Genomic DNA, 16295 nt, shown 5'->3' with positions numbered 1-16295 from the left:
AAACCTACTTATCAAGATGGACTGTCTTTTTGATGTGCAATTGGATTAGTTTGCTAGTATTTTGTTCAGGAGTTTCACATCTATATTCATTAGGAATATTGGCCTGCAGTTTTCATTTTTTGTTGTTGTTCTGTCCCTGCCTGATTTTCATATCAGGGTAATACTGGTTTCATACAATGAGTTAGGGAGAAATCCCTCCTCCTCAATCTTTTGTAATAGTTTCATTTAGATTGGTACCAGCTCTTTGTATGTCTGGTAAAATTTGGCTGTGTATTTGTCTAGTCCTGGGTTGAAAGATTTTTTTTAACTGATTCAGTTTTGTTTCTCATTATTGGTCTGTTCAAGATTTCTATTTCTTTCTAGTTCAATCCTGAGAGGTTGTATTAGTCCGTTTTTATGCTGCTGATAAAGGGATACCCAAGACTGGGCAATTTACAAAAGAAAGAGGTTTAATTGGACTTACAGTTCCACGTAGCTGGGGAAGCCTCACAATCATGGTAGAAGGCAAGAAAGACCAAGTCGTGTCTTTCATGGCTAGCAGCAGGCAAAGAGAGAGAGCTTGTGCAGGGGAACTCCTCTTTTTAAAACCATCAGATCTCATGAGACTTATTCACTTTCAAGAGAACAGCATGGGAAAGACTTGCCCCCATGATTCAATGACCTCCCATCAAATCCCTCCCAAGATGAGATTTGGGTGGGGGGGGACACAGCCAAACCATATCAGAGGTTGTATGTTTCAGGAATTTATCCATTTCTTCTAGGTTTTCTAGTTTGTACATATAGAGATGTTCATAGTAATCTCTGATTATCTTTTGAATTTCTATGGTATCAGTAATAAAGTCACCTTTATTATTTCTAATTGTGTTTATTTGAATCTCTTTTTTTTATTAAATTAGCTAGAAGTTATTAAATTTTGTTTACTCTTTCAAAGAGCCAACTTTTCTTTTAATTGATCTTTTGTATCTTTTTTGTTTTGTTTTGATTTATTTTGGTCTCAGTCTCATTTAGTTCTGCTCTGATCTTTTTCTTTTCTTCTGCTAGACTTGAGTTTGGTTTTATTATTGTTTTCTATTTCCTTGAGGTGTGATGTGAAGTTATAATATGAGATCTTTCCATCTTTTTTGATATAGGCATTTTATGCTATAAACTTTCAGCACTGTGTTTACGGTATCCCAGAGATTTTGATATGTTGTTTCTCTATTTACACTCACTTCAAAACATTTCTTAAATTTTTGTCTTATTTCATTGTTTACCCAAATGTGATTCAGAAGCAGGTTATCAGTTTCCATGTAATTACTTACTTTTCAGAGTTCCTCTTGGTATTGATTTCTAATTTTATTCCACTGTGATCTGAGAAGATACTTGATATCATTTTAATTTTTTAAATGTATTGAGACTTGCTTTAGAGCCAAATATTGGTGGATTTTGGAGAATATTTTATATGCAAATGAGAAAAATGTATACTCTGCAATTATTAGGTAGAATGTCCTGTAAATATCTATTAAGTTCATTCGGTCTAGAGTCCAGTTTACATCCAGTTTTCCTTGTTGACTTTCTACCTTGATGATCTGTCTAGTGTTATCAGTGGGGTGTCCCCCACTATTATCGTATTGATATCAGTCTCTTTTCTTTGGTCTAACAGTATTTTTTTTATGGATCTGGGTGCTCTGGTGTTGGGTGCATATATATTTAGGCTAGTGAAATCTTCTTGTTATATTAAACCCTTTGCCAATATATAATGCCCTTTAATGCCATTTTTAAAAAACTATTATTGCTTTAAAGTCTGTTTTATATAAGAATGGCTACTTCTGCTTACTTTGGTTTTCCATTTGTGTGATATATCTTTTTTTTATTTATTTACTTTGAGTCTGAGTCAGCTTTAGCCATTAGGTGGTTCTTTTGTAGGCAACAGATGATTGAGCTTTGTTTTTTAAAGTCTAGTCTATATCTTTTAAGTGGAGCATTTAGGTGATTTATGTTCAAGGTTAACATTGATATATGAGGTTTTGTTTCTGTATAATATTGTTAGCTATTTGCCTTGGAGTCTCAATTGTGTAATTGCTTCACAGGATGGTGAAGCACTTTCTTGATGGTGATTATTGTCCTTTGGTTTCTGTGTTTAGAACTCCTTTGAGCATTTCTTATAGGGTTGGTTTAGTTGTGACAAATTCCCTTAGTGTTTGCTTGTCTGGGAAAGATTTTATTTCTTCATTTATGAAGCTTAGTTTGGCAGGATATAAAATTCTGGACTAGTACTTTTGTTTTTCTTTAAGGAGGCTAAAAACAGGCCCTTGGTCTCTGTTGGCTTGTATGGTTTCTGCTGAGAAGTCTGCTGTTTGTCTGATGGGGTTTCCTATATAAGTAATTTGATGCTTCTCTCTAGCTGCTTTTAAGATCTGTTCTTTCATGTTGACCTTGGATAGTCTGATGACTATATGCCTTGATGATGTTCATCTTGTATAATATCTTCCAAGTGTTCTCTGAATTTTATGTATCTGGATGCCTATTTCTCTAGCAAGACTGAGGAAATTTTCCTGATTTCCTCATATATGTTTCCCAAACTTCTTATTTTTTCTTCTTCCTCTTAAGAATGTCAATAAGTTATAGGTTTTGTTACTTTACATAATCCTATATTTCTTGAAGGTTTTGTTGATCAAAAAAAATTATTTTCTTCTTTGTTTTTGTCTGACTGGATTAATTTGAAAGACCTGTCTTCAAGATCTGAAATCCTTTCTTCTGCTTAGGTCTAGTCTCTTATTAAAGCTTTTAACTGTGTTTTAAAATTCCCTTAGTGAATTTTTCATTTCCAGAAGTTCTGTTTGGTTTTTAAAATATATATCTTTCCTCTCTGTCGTCTCCTGAGTTTTTTTTCTGGTTTCTTTGTTTGGTTTTCCACTTTCTTTTGGATCTCACTGAACTTCCTTAAAATTCATAACTTTAATTCTTTATCTCTCACCTCAAAGTTTTCATTTTGGTTGGCAGCTATTGCTAGAGAGCTCATGTGGTCTTTTAGGAGTGTCTCAACCATCTGTTTCATCATGGTGCTGAAATTCTTGTGCTGGTTTCTTCTTAAATTTAAATTTAAATTCTTAAATTTAAAAATAAATTTAATATTTTAAAATTTATTTTAATTCGGTGGGTTTCTTCTTTCCTCCTTGAGAGTGTGACTATTGCTCATGTTGGGTAGGTTCATTTGGCTTTGCTTCTGTGTGATTTCAAGGGGCCAAGTCTCTGTGTAAATGTCTTAGTTATAGATAGCCTTAGCATAGTGGTTTTCCCAAATGTTAGTTGTTTGTAGGTTGTGGTAGCCTTGTGTGTGTGGTGAGGCTCACTGTCTCCTACAAAGATGAGGAGGTGGAGGTCTTGGGAAATTATCTCATTTCCTTACTTTTGTCAGCAGGAATTATATTGGATTGTGTAGTTCATCCTACAGGCCAGTAGGTGGTGCTTGCAGGCAAGAGACACCTGTGATAATGGCAGTGGAATTTTTACTTGGTCTTTGTTGATGGAGGAAGTACGAGGTGTCCCTGGTGATAGTCAGGGCATGGAGTTCCCAAGGGCCCCATCCTGCACTGTGCTGCCAAGGCACTGGAGGGGGCAAAGCTGGGTGGGGCTGGTTGGACAAGTCTGTGACTAGGTTCTTTGAGGTCAATGCTGACCTTGGTAGGGGTCTAGGAGCAGCTCTCAGGCCACTGGGACAGCCCTCCAGGGATGGCTGGAGCTGCCTCTTCTGTGGCACAGAGCCCACTTAGGGGAAGGCCTGAGGTGACAGATAGAGTTTCAATATGTATTCTGAGGTGGCTCAAATGGTGTGGCATGGATTTGACTCAATCAGCACAGGAAATAAGGTTATCAGTCATGTAGAGTATTTGGAGCATAAAACCACTGGGGTAATTTCTTAGCAACTAAAGAAAGAAAGCCATTGTCAGCATTATACAGTCAAAGTTCTTGACTACCATGTATAGCAGAAGCTCAATGTTTACTGTGAACTGTTAAGTTTTCAATTTTGTCTGTCCATGCCTTCTTACTGTCTACTGAGTTAGATTTAAATCTCAAAACCTGAACTGAGACTCATTAATTAATTTTTCATCATTCCTACTGAAAGTCTCATGAGTGCTCCAGGCATCATTCCAGGTACTGGGTCACTGAGGCAGACAAGTGAAGAACAGACTAGTTAGGGAAATAGACACCAAGCAAATAAAGAGTTAAGGCTCACATTCATCAAGTGCTTACTCTGTGCCTGTCCAGGATCTAGTACTTTTATTAACAAGCACAATCCTCCCCAAAACCCAGGGATGTAGAAAAAACTACTATTCAAATGTTAGAGGGGGAAACTAAGGCATAGAGCCTTGCTCCCAGTGATTATGTTGGAGAGCCAGAATTCCAATTGAAGCAACCTGATCTCAGGATCTGTATTTATAACACCTATACTATTCTTATTCTCTAATAAATAAACAAGAAGAATATCAAATGCCCATACCTTCTCTATTAAAAATAAGATGATGCGATAGAGAGTAGAGTGGGTGGTCAAGGAAAACCCCTGAAGGGTGACATTGAAGTTGATCTCTGAATAACAAGGTACTACATAAAACATTCCAGGTTCTTTATGATTTCTTCCGTGATGGCAGTATATTCTCCAGATTATTTTAAGATACAAATTAGAATAACGGCAATGACATTCTTAAACGATTATTCAACTGTCTTCTACCTCTATTTACTCAGAGAACAAAAAAGGAGATGAGAGGGGAGGGGGAAGCTGTACAGCCTGTATTCTAGCTCTTGGCTTACTCAGCCTTGTTGCAATATGGCCAGAGCCATAGATGACAGTTTAAACAGCTTTTCTAGGCTTGTAGGCAGACTTGCCAATAGTTGATTGTCTTCATAGAATCCCATGGGATGTGAGCTGTGAAGCTCTGGCTGTGAAACTATGGCTTCTCAAATGTTTTTATTCCCTCAGTTGTGTGTATGATTTATGAGGTCATAGCCTCAAGCCTGAACTATCAGCTCCAGTTGTTGGGTTTACCTTGCAGAAAGTAGATGATATGTGTCACTTTTTCATTTATGTGTGCAGAGACTCTTTCATCTGTCTACATTGCACTCTGGGGCTTCTTTCTAGACAGTTGGTTTTTCAAGTGTCAGATAACTTATCTCTGGGCACAGCCTCAAACCCCAGCTTATGATGAACATTTCTAGCTAAGACATCTCTGCCACCACTTTAGGCAGTTTATTGGGGTGGATCGATCGATCGATTGATTGATCAAGCTATCTGTCTATATACCTTCTTTCACTACTACAAATATATTAATGGTTATAATTTTCATATAGGATTATGTGTACTTAAAATATTTTCATGTCATTTAGAAGCCTGAAGTGGAGTCAGAAATAGGAAAACTACGGGTAGGAGTTCTGATGAGTTGAAGACTGTCTACTTAACCCTTTTCTATCTCTGTCTAAAGGTTAGTTCAACGAATGCAGAGTCCAGTGACTATTACTCTCTAAAGAAAACTCCTTAAAATGAGAAATGTTCATACTTCCTGTGGATTCAGTTGCTATTTTTAAAAACAGGCTTTAATTATAAGTACCACATTAAATCAGTCTTATAATGAGTGAGAACTGGTGTTGAAAATGAATTACTCTGAATGATATCAGTCAAGAAAAATCACATTAACATTTCATTATGCGTGAGACATGATAAAATTCTCTATGACTTCAGGAGATATGATTGAAAGGCCATTTCTTCCATAAGGTCTTCATACGATGCCCGGAGGAGAGGTTTCCAAAAAGTTCCCTGCTGGGATCAAAATCTTATTTTATTCCATTTTGTCCCAAGGGCTTTCATTCCTTTTAACCCATAAATTTAAAATTAAAAATTGTATGATTCAGCTTATTATAATGTCTTGCTCTGGGAGAATTAATATAATTTCTCTCTACCTCCTTCTTGCATTATGTTTTAATGTTAAGAAATCTTAAATCATTTCCTATTGTATATACATAAAAACTCTTTAATATACTGAATTACACACTCATTTTAAATATCAAACAGTTGTAGAATTAATCCCAAACCTATTTTACATGGTAATAGGCCACATGTTTTAAATCATTGCACCTCTTTTAATCAGTGCATAGGCTCCCTGAATAATTATATATTGTAATGACACAGGAGGAATATATAGTATTTTCAATGTATTGGTTGTCTAGGATGCCTGTGTGACTTAATTATTAATAAAATATTGTAATAAAATTTAATGTCTCTGGCTATATTTAACCTGTATATTTATTCGAGAAAAATGTTATCCTAGTTGAGTTTTCCTTTAATTTAATAATAAAATAGAAGGCATTTAGTGAGACCAAATTGTTTCAAAGCTTCTTAAATAGTATCCAGAATTTGCCTAAACAATTTCTATGTAATAGCTAATTAGTTCATGTTAAGGAAGCACTATGATAATTCAATTAAGCTACCATCTCTCAACTTGAATACATAGACCTGTAATTCAAGATTGGATGGGGGAGCAATGTGATGTTATCTAGTCATGTTAAAGATATGTGTAGCCTATACCTTCCCAAATTTATTTTCGTATTTATAGCCTAGAGCAGTAATCTACAAACATTTGTCTTCAGTATCTCTTTATACTCTTAAAAATTATTGAGAACCCCAAACAGATCTTGTTTCATGAGTTATAGTTATCATATTAGAATTTAAAGTTGGAAAATTAAAAAGACAGATTTATTTGTTAATTCATTTAGGAATAAGAATGACACATTTGTTACATGTTAACATGATATTTAAAAACAAATATATTTTCCCTAGAAGACAGAAAAGGATGAGTGGCATTGTTTTACCATTTTACAAATCTCTCTGAGGCATGGCTTAACAGCTGGATTCTGATGTCTGCTTCTGCATGCAGTCTGCTGCAATGTGCTTCCTGTAAAGCACATAAAGGAAAGTTAGCTTCACACAGATGTACAGTTGGAAAAGAAAGTATTATTTAATAGCTGTTTCAGATAACTGTGGATATTCTATTTGATACTACATCAAAACTCAACATGTTTTAATTTTTTGAGGCTTAGTTGCAATGTAGAATATGAAACCATATCAGTAAACATTTTAATACTCTGCTGCATTAAAATAAATTGGCCTATCTTGTATTTTGAGGGGTTCTTTAACCCATGCATAATTTTGTAACATCAATAATTAGTCATTTGAAAAGAATTGGTTCAAAGGGTTATGCAGATATTCTAAATATCTGCGTATTCAAGAGAAACTTAGAAATTTTGTATGGATAACAAATACTGTCAGTCTTTTTTCCTCAAAGTCACAAACGCAGTTTGTTCAAATAGCAAAGTCTGAATTAGTCATTCTTTCAAGTAAAAATGGTGTTGATGAAACAGGCACCTGGTTCAGCTCTCAACTCAAACCATCACACAAGTGTTTTTTCTTGAGAGAACCATCTTCCTATGCAGCAGAAGTGTTTCACACTTCCCTTCCATTTTGTCACACAGAATGTTAAAAAGATGTGTACTCAAGGGTTGCCATTTAATCAAATTAAGTTTTGAAGTTTCCTCATGGACATTTTAAAGGGGAAACTGGCATAAAAAAGAAAACTACAAGTGCATGGTGGCAAAGAATGCAATGATAATTAATTGCCCTTGCTGCCATTGCCTTGATTAAGGCACCAGCAGTGTTACCTACCATTGCTTTTGTACCCTCAGTACAAATGTCATTTGTGGGCAAATAATGTCCTTGTGTTATCATGAAAATAGTTTGACTTTGTGAACTCTTGGGGACCTCAGAGGTCCATGGATGACATTTTGAGAACTGCTGCCTTAGAGAAACTCTTGTACATGTTTGAAAAAAGACAAGTAGAATGACGGTCATTGTAGTATCATGTAATAGCCAAGGGAAAGGGAAAATGCTTGAAATGTTCACTGACAAAGTGGATTAATATCAATAAATAAATATATATATATAAATATATAGGTCTGTACACATACATATGTAGAGAGTAAAGGGGTGAGGGGGAGAGGAAAAAAGCGAGAGAGAGCTTGTGGAATGAGGTTAACAATACGATAATCTGAATGAAGGAATTTGGAGGTTCTTTTGCACAGTTCTTGCAACTTTTCTGTTTAAACTATTGCACAATAAAAAACATATGAATTAAAAAACAAACCCACTAATCCAGGCATATGTATTATACAGCAATGCAGGGAAAGATGGCATGTTTCAGTTGGCATATCTGCATGGTTTGCTTGATTCTCTGCATTAGTAAATGGTGAACAAAATACCTAGAACATCAGGGATAAAACTGATAAAATTTAAAGATTATCTCAGAGACTAGGAAGGCACTTGCATTAGCTTAACCTAGACACATCGAGGTAGTCAGCCTAAGAAGATCTGCTAGGGATGTCAGTATGTATCAGCAGATAAAATGCAATAACAATAAAGGCAAAAGAAAAATTAAATGACAGTATACAAAAGTTTCACAGAGCCAAGAGGACTCAGGTTTCAGGAATAAATTAGTTAAAAGAGACTAGTACCCATTTGTGATTATAGGAATATGTTATATGCAGCCATAACTTGCACCTGTACTTAGATTTAAATTTACTGTTTAATTAATTTTACATAATTTGTTTCAGGGTATGATTTTAGGTATTTTCAAACTGAAGTCTTTTTGAAGCATTTATTCCTTCTTGTGCTAAAGTAATCCTATCAAATACTGCTGCAAAATATCTGACCTGTGCTAACTCAACTGACATTCACATTTAAAGCCCTGGTTCTCAAAGTGGGCAGACCAAGTAAACAGTGTCCACTATGGAATGTTGCCTGGATGTGGCCCATTTTCTTTGAGTGTACTTACTAGATATATTTATGATGCCTGCTTGCCCACAATCCCTTCTGAGAAAGATATGCCTAATACATGGAATGGCAGTGGGGGATAGTGGTTTGTACTGTGTGATCTCTCCCACATGAACCTAGGGTGGACATCTGACCCACCAGTCTGTAGTTTGGTGATCTACAGATGATTGATGGATTGATCAGGTAAACTGGGACTGGGCTGATCAGATATTTAAATCTCCCTCTTCCTCCACTAATTTGAACCGAACTGGGAATATGCTAAGATTCAAACCAAGTGGTAAATTCAGAGATGCTATTAGTAAGGTAAAGCCCATAGTGGCTGATGATTCAATCAAAGTTGTATGGAATGGAAACCATCAGAAGACAGAAGCCAGGTAGTTTGAAGAGAAGATGGATCAGACATGCTCAGATAAGCAGAGATATCATGAAATACAGAGAAACTCTGTGGCTCTTGAAAGAGACAATAAAAAATAGCCTGTTTTTAGAGTTCTGCACGTTCTTGGTTTCTAAGCCTGGCCCAAATCCAGTATCCTTCATGAGTGGGTTTCTATCCATACAGCCAAATAAGCCTAACAGTATACCACTGACCATTGGGTTAATTAGTGGTTTTAAAATTTATATGTTTGCAATAGCATATTATTTATAGTCATACATTATTTAAATAGCATATTTGTTAGTGACTTTTTTATTGGCTTAAAATAGCAATCATCTAGAAAAATCAACTTTTAAAATAGGAATATAGAGTGAAGTGATGATTAGGAGAGATGTGGACCTTCTTACTTTAAAAAGAGAACTAAAAGGGAAGTGGCTGTTTACCTAGTTTCTGGGAAAATAACAAAATCCTGGGTTTTGTTTGTTCAGCTGAATGATTAGAGTGGAGCTTGCTACTGCAACCAAACCAAGGGTTGTCGTGTTAGTAGATAAGTAGTTGCTTCTCTCCAGATGCAGTCTTGAGCCTCCTAAGAACTTTAGATTGGAAAGTTTTCCTTTCTTCACAAATTATATCAATATTTCATGATAAAATGCTAGTAATACCAGTGGTAATGATGTTTTACCTCTAAGTAATGTGACAGTAACTTCAAACCTGAAATACATTCTGAAAAGAGAAAGTATACAACGTCATTATTAACAAGTAATACAGTGTCATTATTAGCAAGTAATTCCTATAACTTTTTAATCAACTCTCTCATCATTGCTTATATAATAACAAATACATGCCAAATATATTACATGCTAACTCATTCAATCTTTCAATAATCCTATGAAGTAGATAATATTATTTCCCCACTTTACAGTTAAGAGAAAGGTCAAGTATCTTCCCAAGACTACACTGCTACTGAGGCGTAGAATAGGAATTTGAATTTAGGCAGTCAGGCTCCAGAATCTATGCTCACCACTGCATTGCACTTTATTTATAGGTTTATTTGATCCATTCACACATTTATTCAAAATCTAGACATTTCATTTTCCTATGTTTTCCCACATATGTGGTGGTTTTAAATGTTACTAGAGAATATCCATTGCATTGGTTATTTTATAGAATCATAGGCAGGTAACTTGTTTTCTCCCAGTGAAATAAAGTTAAGATTCAAGAAAAATTCTAAATAGTTATTTTTTATTTTACAGCTCTTCCAGTTGTACAATGAAAGGCCAATATTGACCTGAAGTCAGAGATATTTTAAGACTTTTCATTACAAGTCAACAAGATAGCATTGGATTGCTTATGAGAAATCTTTCCTTCTCATCTATGAACTCTTCTCTGTGACCTGTCTCAAGGTATCTCATCTCTTCTCAGTTTCCCACCCTGCAAAGCACCAATAATACTAACATATTTAACTACCCACCTTTTTCCAAGAAAAATTACAAAGCTTAATGGTGATCAGCCCATCACTTTTTTACATATATAACATTCTGTGCAAATTATTCACCAAGAGTTATTAACAGTAATATATTTGGACATTTAATAGCTATCAATAACATAGTAATAGCTATGATTCATTGAGTGCTTAGTATGTTCCAATCATTGTGCTAAATGATCTTTATTTCATTGAATCTATGCAACATTGCTATGATGAAGGCATAAACATCTACATTTTACAGATAAGGAAACTAATGTTTTGTAAGTATCAAAGTATCAACATCAGGATTTCAAATTCTGTGTTGTTCACCATATAGACTATATTGCTTCTTTCTCACTTTTCTGTTTTTTAAAAAATGTTTTTATCTGGAATTATTTTCCTTCTGCCTAAAAAACTTCCTTTATTTTTTTTTTGTAGTTCAAGAGCAGTACACATTTTGTAGTTAAAATTATCTCAGATTTTGTTTATGTTGCTCAAAATGACAGTATTATGCCTTAACTTTTACAAAGTATTTTGCTGGATATAAAATTCTAAAATTCTAGGTTTGACAGTTCTGTTTTTTCCTTTCAGAACTTTAATGATGCTACTTCATTATCTTCTGGCTTGTGCTATTTCTGAGAAACCTGTAATCACTCTTCTCTGTGACCTCCTGTATGTAGGGTGACTCTAAGATTTTTTTCTTGATTGTTTGTTTATGAAATACTTCCATGTGGTTTTCTTTGTGCTATCTTGCTTAGGATTAATTGAACTTTTAAGTTTGTTGTTTTCATCTAATTTGAAAAAAACATTGCCCATTATTTCTTTAAAAGTTTCTCCCCCAATCATTTTCCCTCTCTCCTGGGGCTATAGCTCCATGTGTGGCTATTTGCTAAGATTCTGTTAGCTTTTTTTTAAAAAAAACTTTTATTTTAGGTTTATGGCCCATGTGCAGGTTTCTTATATTGGTAAACTCATGTCATGAGGGTTTGTCATACAGATTATTTTGTCACCCAGGTACTGAGGCTAGTACTCAATAGTTATTTTTTGTGCTCCTCTTCTTCCTGCCACCCTCTTCCCTCAAGCAGGTCCCAGTGTCTGTTCCCATCTTTGTGTCCATGAGTTCTCATCATTTAGCTCCCACATATAAATGAAAACATGTGGTATTTGGTTTTCTTTTCTTGAATTAGTTTGCAAGGGATAAGGGCCTTCAGCTCCACTCATGTTCCCACAAAACACATGATCTCATTCTTTTTTATGGCTGTGTAGTATTCCATGGTGTACATGTATCACATTTTCTTTATCCAATCTGTCACTGATGGGCACTTAGGTTAATTCCATGTCTTTGCTAGTGTAATAGAGCTGCAAAGAAATTTGTGTGCATGTGTCTTTATGGTAGGATGATTTATATTCCTCTGGGTCTACACCCTGTAATGGGTTGAATGGTAGTTCTGTTTTTAGCTTTTTGTTATCAGTCTCTTTTTTTCCTCTGAGCTTCAATTTGGGCAACTTATATTGCTATGTCTACAAGTTCACTGACATTTCTTTCTTCATTATCTAAACTGCTGTTAACTCCACCAAATGAATTATTATACACAAAAATAATTTATTATTTTATATATTGTAGTCTTTTTCCTCATCATGCTCATGTTTTCCTTTAACCATATTTACAATATCTGATAAAAAATTTTTGGCTCTAATTCACCCACTTCTGGTTCTGTTTTGTTGTTGTTGTTGTTTTGTTGTTGTTTTTTAATTTTATAGAGACCAGGATCTCACCATATTGTCCAGGCTGTCTCGAACTCATGGGCTCAAGCTATCCTCCTGCTTCGGCCTTCCAAAGTGCTGGGATTAGAGGTGTAAGCCATTGCACCTGGTCTGGTTCTGTTTTTATTGACTGATTTTGCTCTGGGTTTTAGATCCTATTTTCCTGCTTCTGAGGGCACGTCTAGTAATTTTTGACTAGGAGCTGAAAATCATGAATTTCATGTTGCTGAGTGTCTAGTTTTCATTGTCTTCTTTTAAAGGGTGCTTGACTTAGTTCTGGTAGGCAGTTAAGTCACTTGTTTTTCAGTTTAATCATTTTGAAAATTGCTGAAAAATTTGATAGGGCAGATATAAAGTAGATTTTACTCTACAGCTGGTTTACTCCTGTTACCCAGGCATGGCTCTTCTGGGGCGTGTACTGAGTGCCTCAAAGAGTCAGTAAGAACTATCCATTCTGGCTTGTTAGAACTTTATCATCTCTCAGGCTTAATGGGCTGTGAGAATTGTTTAGCTGATAGCACTCTAGTAATTGTCAGCTTAGCTTCATGGCGTTTCAACCTGCACATGTGTAGCTTAATGTTCAACAATAGGCTTCAGAGGACCTTATATACATTTCTGGAACTTTTTCTCTAGATAGCTATCTCTTTTCTAGTACTCTGCCCCATGAATTCTAGCTGCCTCAGCTTTAATATCTCTTCCACTCAGGGAGGCCATGATAGTCTACTTGTCTTCCCTTTCCATGTACTTTAGCCTGAGAAGTGCCCTCAGAAGGGTATCCAGGGTAATTGCAGGGCTCAGTTGATTTACGTCATTTCTCTCAAGATCACAGTCATGTGCTGATTATTACCTAGTACCAGAACCAGATCTTGCATATATTTTACCCAATTCTTTAATTGTTTATGAAAGGAAGAAAATTTGATACTAATTACTCCAGCATGGTTAGATGTTTCTTTTTAAGATGATATATAGACCACCTTTTTAGGAATAACTCTATTGAGAAAAATGAATTACTTAATGTGAATGTATATTCCATGATTAAAGAGAATGCAAACAAAAATGAGATACACTAAACTTTTTATTGTGAATAACTATAATAGTGGAAGTAAAAATAAACTCTTCTAGGAACAGAATTTGTCAGGAATCAGAAATTTTCAGGAGTTAACCTATTTTTCCTTGGGCTTTAAATCATTCTATTTTCAAGAAAGGAGAAAAGTCATCTAAATTCTTTTCCATACTAACAAACTTGGCATTCCTGCCCATGGGAATCTGATGATGACTGGGTTTAACAGTGTGAGAAAAATTTTCTTCTTTGGGCATTCTGTTAGAAGGGAAAAGAGTTTGACCTTGTTTTGGTTTTCACATAAAATAAAGGTTCAGGGTTTTGTTTATTTATTCAGGTTTTATTTTAATGTTCTTTGCCACTGGTTAAGTCTTGGGGAATAGGTTGGGTGGGAGTTGGGCTGCCACACTTTAAAAACATGTAAGTAAAAAATGATGGAGCCTGTTAAAGGAATTTCAAAGTCAAACATACATATCTCTAAACCCAACAGCTGGGAACTTTACTTTCTCCACAATAAGTCTCTGACTTGTTTTTTTCTTAAAGAAGGACTAATTTTAATGGGTAATGTCTCTTTTCCTAACCTACTTTCTGGAATAGGAAGGGAATATGTCTTATTTTATTCTTTTTTTCTTTTCTATAATCCCTTCATTTAAAGATATCAGTACAATTTTCTATTCTTCCCACATACAGAGGGTGTTGCTGGCACTGCATCATTAGGCTGTGTTCTTGGGGGTGTTTCAGTGGGCTTGGTATGGGCTTGTGTTTACCCCTCCACATATTTTCCTGGTGTTTCTAGAGGCCAATGCCCTATTTTGGGATACCTCTGGTGTCCGGCACAAAATTTTTGGAGTCATCTCAGAATTCTGCCTACCAAAATGGGCAATAGGGTATCAATTTTCAAAACATATTTATCTATTTGCATGTGTGTGTGTGTGTGTGTGTGTAAGTGTGTGCACTCATGCAGTTTTTAAAAATTTTGTGCCTGGCCATAGTGGCTCATGCCTGTAATCCCAACACTTTGAGAGGCTGAGGCAGGAGGATCACTTGAATCAAGGAGTTTGAGAATGGCCTGGGCAACATAGCAAGACCTTGTCTCTATTATTAAAAAAAATTGTAAGATATAACAAGATGCTAATAAGTGATCATTCTTTTCACTTGGCAGCTGAGAGTAAATGTTAATTTTCATATTTTTTTCATCATTCAGAAGTTTTTAATAAACAACTTCATTATAAAAACCTTTTTTTGAAAATGTAATTCTGTAAAACATTGAAAAACCTACTTTAACAGAGATATGCCCTGTGCATTTTCTAATGGCACTTATACTTTACAATTAAAAACCTTGTTTTATATGAAGCCAAAAATACTCTAAGAGGTTATTCACTGTGTTTACAAAGTGCTAGAAGATTTCTGTCTTGTATTTTTCTCTTTAAATAATCTGAAGTTACAAGAGACTGGCTCCAAAGCCTTGACCGCTGGTAGGGAAGGAGAAGCGTGAGAAGTGGTGTCTCAGGAGTTCTAGTGCCAAATATGCAGAGGTGGAAAGGTGCAAGTGCAAAAAATCAGCTAAGGAAGTCAGCTGACACACAAAGAAATTGGACTGGAATTTTTCCAAACCCCTCCATGGAGGCACTAGATGTTTATGGTGAACACCCTTTTCCCTCGCCATAGACCCTACTCTCCAAAGGTGAAGGTCAAGGCCAATCCCTTCCACAGCAGGTTCAGAGTTTCAGGAGAGGCCAGGGTGGGGTCCCAGAGGAATCTGGACTTTTCTGGCCAACACCTGCCTAAGGCAAAGTTTCTTATTACACAAATATCCTTGTTAAAAAGCAAAATATTGATCCTGTACAATATAACCTGTTAAAAAATCTTGCTTACAAACAGCTCCTAGATAAGAGGGGAGGTGGAGAGAGGACGGAGAAAACAGCTACCAAAAAGGGAAGGGGGAATTTAAAGGACTACTAGGGAAGGTTTTAGGGCAGTGGGAGAATTCCAACTTAGGACAGTATCTACGAGCAAAAAACTAATCACACCTGCTTCCCGGATTTCAATTAAGAAAATGCCATTTGTAAAAGGTTGGGCGGGGGGGATCCTCATTGGTGCTCCCTTCCCTGCCTCCCACCTCAAGATGATGCAGAGATCCTTTGAGCTGACACCTGGGCATGTCATCCCCTTACCCTCAGGACTGCATTCAGCCCTGACCAGCTACTGTGTAGGGTGGGAGGGGAATAGCTCATTGCTGACAGAGGCTGGAGATGGCAGGGAAAGGGGACATCACCCCTGTTTTTCCTGGTCCCTCATTGGTCTTTGTCATATGCCATGGCTCCTGTCCTGGGCAGATGCCCCTCAGGTTCTCATGGCCTCAGTGAGCATACTGAAGTGAGTTTGGGTACTGAGTGTAGGATAAAGCTATTCTTGTCCTTTGAACAACCAGGCCACTAAGGCTTCCCCCACCCCCAGCCCCCCAGATTTTAGGAAGGGAGGTTTAAGAAATGACTGGCTAGCTATGGTCCAAAAAAAAAGGTGAAGGCAGATATTATTCCTCTGTACCAGCAAAGTTCACAGTGATAGGAAAATTCCTTGTGGGTGCTGAGGACACTGAGGGAGGAGGAAAGGAAAGACAGGATAGATGGGAGGACACAGGAGTGAGGAAGGCAAGGAGAAAAGACAGGATGTGGGGGCAAGGCCCCAGTTACAAGGGTTCAAACAGTTGCTTTGCCAGTCCTATGACTTTCCCAGCATCACTTATGGGGAGAGAGAATTCGAGGGAGGGACAGGAAAG

General features: G+C 36.3%; 1 long non-coding RNA gene across 1 annotated transcript in view, besides 1 other annotated feature; it reads left to right on the top strand.

Moving 5' to 3' along the window:
• LINC02994 (long intergenic non-protein coding RNA 2994) overlaps positions 1-16295 on the top strand; it is a 331088-nt gene that overhangs the window by 36298 nt on the left and 278495 nt on the right. The gene's annotated exons all lie outside the window — the stretch shown is intronic.
• Positions 9414-9775: an enhancer, noted in NCBI's record as "heart enhancer 9". NCBI's record gives its function as "activates a minimal c-fos promoter by transgenic reporter assays in zebrafish embryonic heart {active_cell/tissue: heart(embryonic)}" and the evidence as "EXISTENCE:transgenic organism evidence [ECO:0001131][PMID:20075146]".

This window comes from Homo sapiens, chromosome 4, assembly GCF_000001405.40.
Source record: "Homo sapiens chromosome 4, GRCh38.p14 Primary Assembly".
NCBI classification, from domain to species: domain Eukaryota; kingdom Metazoa; phylum Chordata; class Mammalia; order Primates; family Hominidae; genus Homo; species Homo sapiens.
Note: the sequence above shows the minus strand (reverse complement) of the source record. Positions and strands in the feature narration are given on the sequence as shown.